Genomic DNA, 12587 nt, shown 5'->3' with positions numbered 1-12587 from the left:
ACATGCCTGGCCCATACCATGTTTTCTTTATCCAGTTCACCACTGATGGAAATCTAGGTTGATTCCATGTCTTTGCCACTGTAAATAGTGCTGCCATGAACATATGCGTGCATGTCTCTTTATGGTAGAATGATTTATATTCCTTTGGATTTATACCCAGTAGTGGGATTCCTGGGTTGAATGGTAGTTGTATTTTAAGTTCTTTGTGAAATCTCCAGACTGCTTCCATAGTGGCTGAACTAATCTGCATTCCCACCAACAGTGTATAAGCATTCCCTTTTCTCTGCAACCTTGCCAGCATCTATTATTTTTTGAATTTTTAATAATGGCCATTCTGGCCAGGCACATGCCTATAATCCCAGCACTTTGGGAGGCTGAGGCGGGCGGATCACTTGAGGTCAGGAGTTAGAGACCAGCCTGGCCAACATGGCAAAACCCCATTTCTACCAAAAATACAAAAATTAGCCAGGTGTGGTGGCAGGAGCCTGTAATCCCAGCTACTCGGGAGGCTGAGGCAGGAGAATTGCTCAAACCCGGGAGGTGGAGGTTGCAGTGAGCCAAGATCGCGCCACTGCACTCCAGCCTGGGCAACAGAGTAAGACTCTGTCTTAAAAATAAATAAATAAGCAAACAAACAAATAAATAAATGAAGGCCATTCTGACTGGTGTGAGGCGTATCTCATTGTGGGTTTGATTTGCGTTTCCCTAATGACTAGTGGCGTTGAGCATTCCCCATTGTTGGTATAGCTCAGTGAACACTGGGGATCTCTACGTCTCACAAAATTAGGAGCTTGAGTGGGGCGGAGGATAGAGGTTAGGGAGAAAACCCAGAATTCTTCTGTCCAAATGTTTCCCTTCAGGAAGAAGGATCAAAGTCATCTCAGACTCGGTCTAGTGGTTCGGAGCGGGGACTGGCCCCAAGGCTGCCCAGGCCCGGGTCTCAGCTCCACCACGTACTAGTAGTGTGACCTCAGGCAAGCTGTATCCCTTTATTTTTCCCATCTGTAAAGTCAAGATGGTAATGCTTCCTTCCTTGTAGGGTTTTTGGAAAGATTAATTGAGTTAAAATTCAGGCCAGGCACAGTGGCTCACGCCTGTAATCCCAACACTTTGGGAGGTTGAGGTGGGTGGGTCACCTGAGGTCAGGAGTTCGAGACCAGTCTGGCCAACATGGTGAAATCCCGTCTCTACTAAAAATACAAAAAATTAGCCAGGCCTGGTGGCAGGCACCTGTAATCTCAGCTACTTTGGAGGCTGAGGCAGGAGAATTGCTTGGACCTGGGAGGTGGAGGTTGCAGCGAGCCGAGATCACGCCATTGTACTCCAGCCTGGGCGACAGAGCGAGACTCCGTCTCAAAAAAAAGTCAAAATTCCTGTACAGACCAGCGCCCAGCCTAGCTAAGTGCTCTGAAAGTGTTGGCTATTTTTCTTAGCTATGGCAGAGGTCCTCCAGTGAGGTTGGGGGAACTATAAAATTTTTATTTTGTATGCCTCTGCTATAATTCAACGGTTTTTTATGCCTTTAGATAGGGTTCTTTATTTGACTTAGGAACAAATGTGTTGCTTCTGTATGAATATTAGAATTTAATTCCGATGGGAAAGAGAATAAATTCAGGGAAAAAATATCTTCTCATAAACTTAGCATGTCATTTATTACTTTTTCTTCAAAAATGCCAAAAGCCTGATTCCTCTTGATAAATGGTCCAGAGAGCTTTCCTAGGGCTCTGAGGTTTGTAAAAGCCTCTCACATGGTCCTCCATGTGAGCTCTGTGATTACACCCAAGATCTTTGCTTGGGTGTAATAATTTCATCCAAGTTGCTCTTCCAAGCGTTCAGAGAGGAATGTGAGTTGTTTTTTTTTTTTTTTTTTTTTTTTTTTGAGTCAGAGTCGCGCTCTGTCACCCAGGCTGGAGTGCAGTGGTGCGATCTCGGCTCACTGCAATCTCCGCCTTCCGGGTTCAAGCGATTCTCCTGCCTCAGCCTCCTGAGTAGCTGGGACTACAGGTGCGTGCTACCACGCCCGGCTATTTTTTTGCATTTTTAGTAGAGACGGGGTTTCACCATCTTGGCCACGATGGTCTTGAATGTGATCTGCCTGCCTTGGCCTCCCAAAGTGCTGGGATTACAGGCGTGAGCCACTGAGCCCGGCCGAGTTATTTTTTTAAATCATCACTGGTTCAAGTAGCAAGCTCCCTGGGTGTGGCCTCAGGAGACCTGGGGTCAAGTCCTATTTAGTTGTTTCCTTCGTTCTTTACTTGACTGTCTGGTGGCTTTTGGCAATTGTGTCACATCTTTGAAGCTTGTTTTCTCTTCTTTTTTTTTTTCTGTTGCTTTTTTAATCTGTTTGTTTTTTGAGACAGGGTCTTGCTCTGTCACCTGGGCTGGAGTGCAGTGGTGCAATCACAGCTCACTGCACCTTGAACTCTTGGGCTCAAGTGATCCTCCCATCTCAGCCTCCTGAGTAGCTAGGACTACATGTATGTGCCACCACACCCGGCTAACTTTTTTCTGTAGAGATAGGGTCTCACTTTATTGCCCAAGTTGGTCTTGAACTCATGGGCTCAAGTGATCCTCCTGCCTCAGCCTCCCAAAGTGCTGCAATTACAGGCATGAGCCCCCACATCTGGCCTAGTTTTCTCTCCTATACAGTGGGTGTTTTACGTAACAATCTTGGAAGGATGTTAGAGGATTCAATTAAATTTAAAGAAATTAAAAATAAATAGCCAGGCGCGGTGGCTCATGCTTGTAATTCCAGCACCTTGGGAGGCCAAGACGAGCGGATCACAAGGTCAGGAGTTTGAGACCAGCCTGGCCAGTGTGGTAAAACCCTGTCTCTACTAAAAATACAAAAATTAGCTGGGTGTGGTGGCACACGCCTGTAGTCCCAGCTACTCGGGAGGCTGAGACAGAAGAATTGCTTGAACCCAGGAGGTGGAGGTTGCAGTGAGCCAAGATCTCGCCACTACACTCCAGCCTGGGCAACAGAGTGAGACTCCATCTGTCTCTCTCTCTCTGTATATATATATATATGTTTTTAAATAAATAAATTCAATAATATGCAAGAAAGTGCAAGAGAAATGAGAATATATTATGGTATAGTAATGGTATTCTTATCGTTTGATCGTGTAACAAAAATCTGTTGCTCTGAGTCCTGATCTGTAAGGGGTTTTGTTTTGTAATCCTCCAGCATATCTCCAAGCTCATTCTGGAAGCACGCCAGGTCCAACAGCTGACATCGTATCACAATGAACAGATAATTGCTTTGTGTTTTCGTTTTTTTTTTTTTTTTTTTTGAGATGGAGCCTCACTGTGTTGCCCAGGCTGGAGTGCACTGGCACGATCTCGGCTCACTGCAAGCTCCGCCTCCCGGGTTTATTCTCCCACCTCAGCCTCCCTAGTAGCTGGGATTACAGGTGTGCGCCACCATGCCTGGTCAAGTTTTGTATTTTTAGTAGAGACAGGGTTTCACCATGTTGGTCAGGCTGGTCTTGAACTCCTGACCTCGTGATCTGCCTGCCTCGGTGTCCCAAAGTGCTGGGATTACAGGTGTGAGCCACGGCGCCTGGCCAGGCTTTGTGTTTTCTATTGGCTGTCATCACAGTCCAGCCTGTTTATTTCCATCTGAGGGAAGCAGATTCATTCTCTTATTGTATCCCGTTCTGTCACGTTCACACTACTGAGTGTCACTTTATTAACTGTAAATTCCAAGGGAAAACATCTCTGTTTCAGCAGAGATCTACATTTCACATGACTAAGTGGCCTTTCTAGGGAGGCCACTCTGTGGTATGTTGCGTTCCCTAAGAGACAGGCTTGTAGCTATAGAAACTGTAACCTTGTGTAGCCAATGGTGTGGCAGGGGTAGCGCTGACTTTGTTGATTTCTTTCTTCTTCACTGTGGTTCAAAATACCTGGGGACATTGCTGAAATAACTGAAAGATGGTTCCCCTTCCCCTACTGCCCCAACTGTGTCTTTTGCCCTTCTGTATCATTAGATGTAAAACTCAGGAGATTTTTTATTTTTATTTTTGAGACAGGGTCTCATTCTGTCACCCAGGCTGGAGTGCAGTGGTGCAGTCTCGGCTCACTGCAACCTCCGCCTCCCAGGTTGAAGCGATTCTCCTGCCTCAGCCTCCTGTGTAGCTGGGATTACAAGCACATGCCATCACGCCTGGCTAATTTTTGTATTTTTAGTAGAGATGGGGTTTCGCCGTGTTGGCCAGGCTGATCTTGAACTCCTGATCTCAAGTGATCCTCCCACCTCGGCCTCCCAAAGTGCTGAGATTACAGGCATGAGCCACCACGCCCAGCAGGACCTGGTATCTTCTAAATCAGAGTAGGATTTTGTTTCACAGGTCCTCGAGATTAGGAAAAGAAATAAGTAAAATAAAATAAAGAGGCCAGACAGGGTGGCTCACAACTATAATCCTAGCACTTTGGGAGGCTGAGGCGGGTGGATCACCTGAGGTGAGCAGTTCAAGACCAGCCTGGCCAACATAGCGAAACCCCATCTCTACAAAAAATACAAAAATTAGCCGGACGTGGTGCTGAGCGCCTGTAGTCCTGGCTGCTCCGGAGGCTGAGGCGGTAGGATCGCTTGAGTCCAGGAAATTGAGGCTGCCGTGAGTGGAGATCATGCCACTGCACTCCAGTCTGAGTGACAAAAAGACCCTGTCTCAAAAAAAAAAAAAGAAAAGAAAAGAAATGAAAAAGAGAGAGAGAGTAAAGGGTGAGAGTGCAAGAGTGGATTAAAAAAAGTAATAATAAAGAAAAAAAAGTTTGACTTTGCTGGAATTGTTACAAGAATGTTGTCTCAGGAAGACAAAACAGAAGGTAAAAGCAAGCAAGGGTGAATGATACTGGCAGGCTGCAGACAGACCGTGTGTCCAGAAGGAACTATTTGCACTTTAGAGAAAGGACACCAAAGAAAGAAAAGAGCAGTAATTCCCCAGGGCTGTGTAAGGGAGGGGAGCTGCCAAATCTGGTGGAGGAGAGTATTACAGTCACTAGGGCGGTGCGTCCTGCCCCGAGGCAGGAACAGGCAGTTTCTTGTTTATTCAGCACACACAGATTGAGTGCTTACTGTGAACCAGGTGCTCCGGCTCAGGTGCTAGGAGGTGAAAGGTAAGTAGGCTCTGCCCTCGCCTCTCACGTTTTGGGGAGGCTGAGGCACAACCTCGGAGGAGTCTGTGATTCCAAGTTCACAAAGCCCGCAGGGTAACTCAATATTGCAAAAGGCTGCTGCAGGCCTGAGACCACAACTGCCACAGCCCTCTCCTCATCTTTTTGACTTGTAAGTAATTGTGACTCCTGCAATCCAGGCTAACAAAGTAAGAGAGATAGTTGTTTGGTCCAAATACTCTTAATTGATCCTATGAAATCCATTTTGCTGTGCAAAGGAAGTTGGGCAATATTCTAGTCTAGGCTCGGCCCACAGAGAATTTATACAAGAATCCTATAAACCAGGCCAGGTGTGGTGGCTCACACCTTGAATCCCAGCCCTTCTGGAGGCCAAGGCGAGAGGATCTCTTGAGACCAGGTGTTCAAGACTAGCCTGGGCAACATAATGAGACTGCATCTCCACAAAACGTTTTTTTTTTTTTTTGAGACAGTCTCACTCTGTTGCCCAGGCTGGAGTGCAGTGGCACGATCTCAGCTTACTGCAACCTCTGCCTCAGCCTCCTGAGTAGCTGGGATTACAGGCGCCCGCCACTACGCCCAGCTAATTTTTTGTATTTTTAGTAGAGACGGGGTTTCACCATGCTGGCCAGGCTGGTCTTAAACTCCTGACCTCGTGATTCTCCCGCCTCAGCCTCCCAAAGTGCTGGGATTAAAGGTGTGAGCCACCGCGCCTGGCCCACAAAACATTTTAAAAGTCCAGGCACGGTGGTATTCGCCTATAGTCCCAGCTACTCAAGAGGCTGAAGTAGGAGAATCACTTGAGCCCAGGAGGTCGAGGCTGCAGTGAGCCATAATCATACCACCGCACTCCAGCCTGAGTGACAGAGCAAGACCCTGTCTCTAAAAAAAAAACCAAAAAGAATTTTATAAGACAAAATATCACAGTAATGTTTTCAGCCTCTTCCCGACAGCGACCCTATTCCATCATTCTGGAGACCCACCTTACAACACCCCCTCCCCACCCTCCTTCATGCAAAGGAAACTGCTGACATCCTGCTTGACAGAGCAGTTTGTGGTTTTGTTTGTGTGTATTTGATTAGTGTTAGTCAGGTGACTCAGTCCCTAAGAACCCGACCTAGTTTTACGTGCACCAGAAAAGGTGTGCTCGAGGCCAGATGTGGTGGCTCACGCCTGTAATCTCAGCACTTTGGGAGGCCGAGGTAGGCGGATCACCTGAGGTCAGGAGTTCGAGACCAGCCTGGCCAAGACAGAGAAATCCCATCTCTACCAAAAATACAAAATTAGCCAGTCATGGTGGCACATGCCTGTAATCCCAGCTACTCGGGAGGCTGAGGCAGGAGAATTGCTTGAACTCGGGAGGCAGGGGTTGCGGTAAGCTGAGATCACACATTCCAGCCTGGGCAACAAGAGCAAGGCTCCGTCTCAAAAAAAAAAAAAAAAAAAAAGCCAGGTGCAGTGGCTCATGCCTGTAATCCCAGCAGGTTTGGGAGGCCGAGGCAGGTGGATCACGAGGTCAGGAGATCGAGACCATCCTGGCTAACGCGGTGAAACCCCGTCTCTACTAAAAATACAAAAAAAAAAAAAAAAAGCTGGGCATGGTAGTGGGCGCCTGTAGTCTCAGCTATTCGGGAGGCTGAGGCAGGAGAATGGCGTGAACCGGGGAGGCGGCGCTTGCAGTGAGCCGAGATCACACCACCACACTCCAGCCTGGGCGACAGAGCGAGGCTCCATCTCAAGAAAAAAAAAAAAAAAGAAAGAAAAGAAAAGGTGTGCTTGTCCATTCACTCATGTATTTGACACATTGATTGAACACCTATGCAAGGGCCAGGCCCTATGCAGGGCTCAGAATACAGGGAGGAAGACACAGTCCCTGCCCCCAAGGGACTGGCAACAGAAGGAATCCCTATGGTAAGTAAAGGGACAAACTGAAAAACCATTAAAGCAAAGCTCCTCCTATAACAATAGATTCTGCAATTTTATAAAAAATCACAACTTCTTGTTGCAGGCAAACTCCACCCCACCAACCCCAGGACTGGATCCTGCCCCAGTGGTAGCAGAGTTCTTGACTTGCCTCTGACAGAGAAAATGACGAGGGGGTGAGGATCCAGTGGTCCTGAAGATAATTAATTTTCTCATTGATACAATGGAGAAAACAGAAATTAATATATTAAATATCACTTTTCAGCCAGGTGCTGTGGTTCATGCCTGTAATCCCAGCACTTTGGGAGGCCGAAGCGGGAGGATCGCTTGAACCCAAGAGTTCAAGACTAGCTTGGGCAACATAGTGAGACCCCCATCTCTACAAAAAAAATACAAAAATTAGCCAGGCCTGGTGGTGTTCCTATAGTCCCAGCTATTCGGGAGGCTGAGGTGGGAAGATTACTTGAGCCCTGGAAATCATGGCTGCAATAAGCCAAGATCGTGTCACTGCACTCCAGCCTGAGCAACAAAGAGAGATCCTATCAAAAATAAAGAAAGAAAGAATATCACTTTTCAGCCAAGTTTTCAGAAGATGTTGAGAGTCTTACAGTTGTTAGAATGAAAGCAGTAGTAGCCATTAAACTGCGTGTAAGGACAGATTGTATTAAACTGTGTATAAGGAGAGATTGTATTTATTTTATTTATTTTATTATTATTTTTGAGACGGAGTCTTGCTCTGTTGCCCAGGCTGTAGTGCAGTGGGGTGATCTCGGCTCACTGCAAGCTCTGCCTCCTGGGTTCATGCCATTCTCCTGCCTCAGCCTCCCGAGTAGCTGGGACTAGAGGTGCCCGCCACCACACCCAGCTAATTTTTTTGTATTTGTTAGTAGAGACGGGGTTTCACCATGTAGCCAGGATGGTCTTGATCTCCTGACCTTGTGATCCACCTGCCTCGGCCTCCCAAAGTGCTGGGATTACAGATGTGAGCCACCATGGCTGGCCCTATTTTATTTTTTTAAATAAAATAGAGTTGAGGTCTCACTGTTAGCCAAGCTGGTCTCAAACTCTTAGGCTCAAGCGATCCCTTGGCCTCCAAAAGTGCTGGGATTATAGGTGTGAGCCACCATGCCTCCCAAGGTTGTCCTTTTAGATCTAGTTAAGGATCTTGAGATCACCCTGGATTATACAGGTGGGCCCTATATCCAATGACAAATATTTTTATAAGAGACACATGGAGGAGAGGCGCACAGAGCAGAAGCCCATGTAAAGATGGAGATGGAGATGAGAGTGATGCAGCCACAAGCCAAGGGACACCTGGCGCCACCAGAAGCTGGGAGAGGCAGGGAAGGCTCCTCCCCTAAGGCATATCCCTGCTGACACCTGGATTGCAGACTTCCAGCCTCCAGAACTGTGTGAGAGAAAATATCTGCTCTTTTAAACCACTGAAGTGGGGCTGGGCACGGTGGGTCCCACCTGTAATCCCAGCACTTTTGGGAGGCCGAGGCCGAGGCGGGTATGTTGGGTAAAAGCTGAGTGTTGGGAAAAAAGCTGAGGCAGGGCTTGCATGTCTGACATAATGTAAAAGAGTCTTGGAACATGTCTGGGGTCCAGGGTCTAAAACCCCTCGTGGCCTTTGGAACACCAAGCTCTGTGCTAAAGGGTGGAAGGCTGCCCCGCCACACCACAATCTAAACCCAGGGCATAAAAGCTCTCGTGGCTTGGATGGAATCCAGGGCTCAGGGCATAAAAACCCTCGTGACCTCTGGAATGTGTCTAGACTTGCAGGCTCCTTGCTTCTATCACTCCCATTATCTCAAGTAGCAGAACATGTTCCATATGCTTCAAACAAAATGCTAAACCGTCACGGCCATAGATCATGCGCTTGATGCACTGCTTCCTTTCAACCCCCACATCCTCACCACCTGCTTCTTTGATCACCAATAAACAGCTCGGGCTCCCAGCGCTCAGGGCCTTCGCAGCCTCCATACTAGCGTTGGCCTGCGGTCCCACTTTCACTCTTAACTTGTCTTGTCTCATTCCTTTGACTCCCCCGGACTTCGTTGCCCCCACAGCCTGGTGTTGGGTCTGATCACCCCAACAGGGTGGATCACCTGAAGCCAGTCGTTCGAGACCATCCTGGCTAACATGGTGAAACCCCATCTCTACTAAAAATACAAAAATTAGCTGAGTGTGGTGGCAGGCAGCTGTGATCCCAGCTACTCGACTGGCTGAGGCAGGAGAATCGCTTGAACCTGGGAGGAGGAGGTTGCAGTGAGCCGAGATCACACCACTGCACTCCAGCCTGGGCTACAAGAGCGAAACCCTGTTTCAGAAAAAAAACAACAAAAAATCCCACCAAAGTTATGATTATTTGGAAGGCAGCTATGCTCGCTACTGTACCACCAACGCCGCTGGGTTATGGTTGTTACCGAAGTGCTAGGAAGCTACTACATGAATCGACATGCATATGGAAATATCTACAGCCTTTTCTTTAACATGTTTAACTTTTCCCCCATGCCTTTGCCATTACCTTTTTTTCAGAAGGACAGAGGCAGGCTGCACACGGTGGCTCATGTCTGTAATCCTAGCAATTTGGGAGGCCGAGGTGGACAGATCACTTGACCCCAGGAGTTCGAGACCAGACCGGGCAACATAGCAAAACCCCATCTCAAAAAAAAAAAAAAAAATTAGCCAGGCATTGTGGCCCTCCTGTAGTCCCAGCTACTTGGGAGGCCAAAGTGGGAGGATCACCTGAGCCTGGGAGTTCGAGCCTGCAGTGAGCCGTGATCACCTGGGTGACAGAGTGAGACCCTGATTCAAAAAAAAAAAAAAAAAAAAAAAAGGCAGAGGCAGTCCAGGCTTCAGCCAGCCTGTCTCATTTAAATGCCAATTTGGTCATTTCCTAGTTGTGTGACCTTAAGCAAACTACTTAATCTCTCTGAGTCCCCATTTCTTCATCTGTAGAATTTTTGCATTGGTATTAAATGAGACCGTCATGTAAGTGTTTAGAATTGTGTCTGGCATATCATTAGCAATACACATAAGTGGTAGTTTATGCATTCTCTCCTGTTCCTCAGTGATTTCCTGTCCTCATCAGAATGCTACTTCTTCATGGTAATGAGCCAGTTTTGTTCCTGCCTAGATTTTTAAAAAACTCATTATCACTTGTGATTCATTTACCTCATTATGCTTTTAGGCTATTAGAATGGGGAAAATGTCACTCAGAAGAGTATGAACAAACCAAGCCCCATGGAATCTCACTTGATAGCCAGGGCTAATCATCAGAAAAGTCAAAAGATCAGCCATTAGCAAAGTAGAGAGACAAAGAACCCGATTTAACTAATAAGCACTTCAATACCCGTGACTTCTAACTGACTCTCTCTCTCTCTCTCTCTCTCTCTCTCTCGACTTTCCTTTGAAATTTCAAAGGGTATGAATAATTTAATTGATTTTCAAAATAATTGACTTGTTTTTGACAAGCATGTGCATGTTTGCTTGGTTTGTGGTTGAGATGGACCAAAAGAGACAAAAGGATTACTAGGTTTAAGGAGCCCCTGTCTATCCTGTATTTCAAATTTCAAAGACAGTATTTGTTCTTAAAACAGTCACTGCTTCCCTTGCTTTGAAGGAATTTAAGAGTATGTCTTAGCTTACAAATCACTTAGCAGCCAGGCGCGGTGGCTCACGCCTGTAGTCCCAGCACTTTGCGAGGCCGAGGCGGGTGAACCACCTGAGGCCCGGAGTTCAAGACCAGCCTGACAAATATGGAGAAACCCCCCGACCCTACTAAAAATACAAAAAATTAGCTGGGCGTGGTGGCGCATGTTTGTAATCTCAGCTACTCGGGAGGCTGAGGCAGGAGAATCGCTTGAACCTGGGAGGCAGAAGTTGCGGTAAGCCGAGATTGTGCCATTGCACTCCAGCCTGGGCAACAGAGCGAGACTCCATCTCAAAAAAAAAAAAAAAAGAAAAAAGAAAAAATCACTTATCTCTGAACAGCCAGCACACTGGCTTCTTCACTCACAATTATTCCTCATTCAGATCCTAGCAATTTCAGAAAGTGTTGAGTTTATTACTAGTGCTTGGCCTCTAGGGCTCTCCTTCCACACTGCATTAGTAGCTGAACTGTCTGCTTTGTCTACAGGGCCTGCTTATCTTGCGATTGGACCATCTTCTTTTCCTTTCACTTTCACGGTCTCTTTCACACGAGTAGGAAAAAAAATGGAAAGTATATATATAGATACATACATATATATATATAGATACATACATATATATAGATACATACATATATATATATAGATACATACATATATATAGATACATACATATATATAGATAGATACATACATACATATATATATATATATATATATTTTTTTTTTTTTTTTTTTTTTTTTTTTTTTTGAGACAGAGTCTCTGATGCCCAGGCTGGAGTACAGTGGTGTGGTCTCAGCTCACTGCCACCCTGCAACCTCCACCTTCTGGGCTCAAGCTATTCTCCTGACTCAACCTTCCGAGTACCTGAGATTACAGGTGCGTGCCACCATGCCTGGCTAAGTTTTGTATTTTTGGTAGAGACAAGGGTTTCACCGTGTTGGCCAGGCTGGTCTCGAACTCCTGACCTCAGGTGATCTACCCACCTTGGCCTCCCAAAGTGCTGAAATTATAGGCGTGAGCCACTGTGCCCAGCTGGGAAAGTATTTTCTTCCCAAGCCCATATCTTTAACACATTTGCAAAATCAAGCATCCCTAATGGTTTACCTTGGCGTGGCTAGAAGTCTTGATTTATATGATATTAGGTTTCCTAAAAGAGGGAAACTTCCCTGTGGCCCTCACCTAAGGGATTTAGGCGTAATTCATGAAGCAAGTTTACAATAAAAAAAATCCCTACCATTGCATACCAAAAAAAAAAAAAAATGATGGTTACGGTCATACCAATGGCATGTTTAAAACAAGACTTAATTGGCCAGGCGCGGTGGCTCACGCCTGTAATCCCAACACTTTGGGAGGCCGAGGCAGGCGGATTACCTGAGGTGAGGAGTCTGAGACCAGCCTGGCCAACATGGTAAAGCCTCGACTGTACTAAAAATACAAAAATTAGCCAGGCATGGTGGCACACGCCTGTAATCCCAGCTACTCCAGAGGCTGAGGCAGAATTGCTTGAGTCTGGGAGACGGAGGTTGCAGTGAGCCAAGATCACGCCACTGTACTCTAGCCTAGGCGACAGAGCGAGACTCTGTCTCAAAAAAAAATACATAAATAAATAAAAATAAAATAAAAAACAAAGACTTAACTGTTGCACTGTGATACTGTGACATCTGGAGGCCCATATTTAGTGTAACAGGTGAATTACTCATTTCGAAAAAAACATTTTTATGGCTCTGACATTGGTAAATTCTGACATCTCTCGTTGATCTGGTAGGCTGTGATTGGGTCAGTTTTCAAGATGCAACAATGAAAGGCTTCATGGTGACACCTGGTCCGAATCTCACCGAAGCCTCAGGGCCAGGGGCCAGCCATTGCTT

At 46.4% G+C, this 12587-nt stretch overlaps 5 annotated features.

Annotated features, from left to right (window-relative positions):
- Positions 6435-6593: a silencer, noted in NCBI's record as "fragment chr22:41127319-41127477 (GRCh37/hg19 assembly coordinates)". NCBI's record gives its function as "represses an EF-1alpha promoter that drives an FKBP-Casp9 reporter gene in an ReSE screen in K562 erythroleukemia cells {active_cell/tissue: K562}" and the evidence as "EXISTENCE:reporter gene assay evidence [ECO:0000049][PMID:32094911]".
- Positions 8439-9162: an enhancer, noted in NCBI's record as "H3K27ac-H3K4me1 hESC enhancer chr22:41124750-41125473 (GRCh37/hg19 assembly coordinates)". NCBI's record gives its function as "activates a minimal SCP1, AML or CMV promoter by ChIP-STARR-seq in primed H9 embryonic stem cells {active_cell/tissue: H9 hESC(primed)}" and the evidence as "EXISTENCE:reporter gene assay evidence [ECO:0000049][PMID:30033119]".
- Positions 8912-8961: an enhancer, noted in NCBI's record as "active region_19099". NCBI's record gives its function as "activates an Ori minimal core promoter by ATAC-STARR-seq in GM12878 lymphoblastoid cells {active_cell/tissue: GM12878}" and the evidence as "EXISTENCE:reporter gene assay evidence [ECO:0000049][PMID:35858748]".
- Positions 9032-9111: an enhancer, noted in NCBI's record as "active region_19098". NCBI's record gives its function as "activates an Ori minimal core promoter by ATAC-STARR-seq in GM12878 lymphoblastoid cells {active_cell/tissue: GM12878}" and the evidence as "EXISTENCE:reporter gene assay evidence [ECO:0000049][PMID:35858748]".
- Positions 9163-9887: an enhancer, noted in NCBI's record as "NANOG-H3K27ac-H3K4me1 hESC enhancer chr22:41124025-41124749 (GRCh37/hg19 assembly coordinates)". NCBI's record gives its function as "activates a minimal SCP1, AML or CMV promoter by ChIP-STARR-seq in primed H9 embryonic stem cells {active_cell/tissue: H9 hESC(primed)}" and the evidence as "EXISTENCE:reporter gene assay evidence [ECO:0000049][PMID:30033119]".

The sequence above is a fragment of the Homo sapiens genome, chromosome 22, assembly GCF_000001405.40.
Source record: "Homo sapiens chromosome 22, GRCh38.p14 Primary Assembly".
Taxonomy (NCBI): domain Eukaryota; kingdom Metazoa; phylum Chordata; class Mammalia; order Primates; family Hominidae; genus Homo; species Homo sapiens.
Note: the sequence above shows the minus strand (reverse complement) of the source record. Positions and strands in the feature narration are given on the sequence as shown.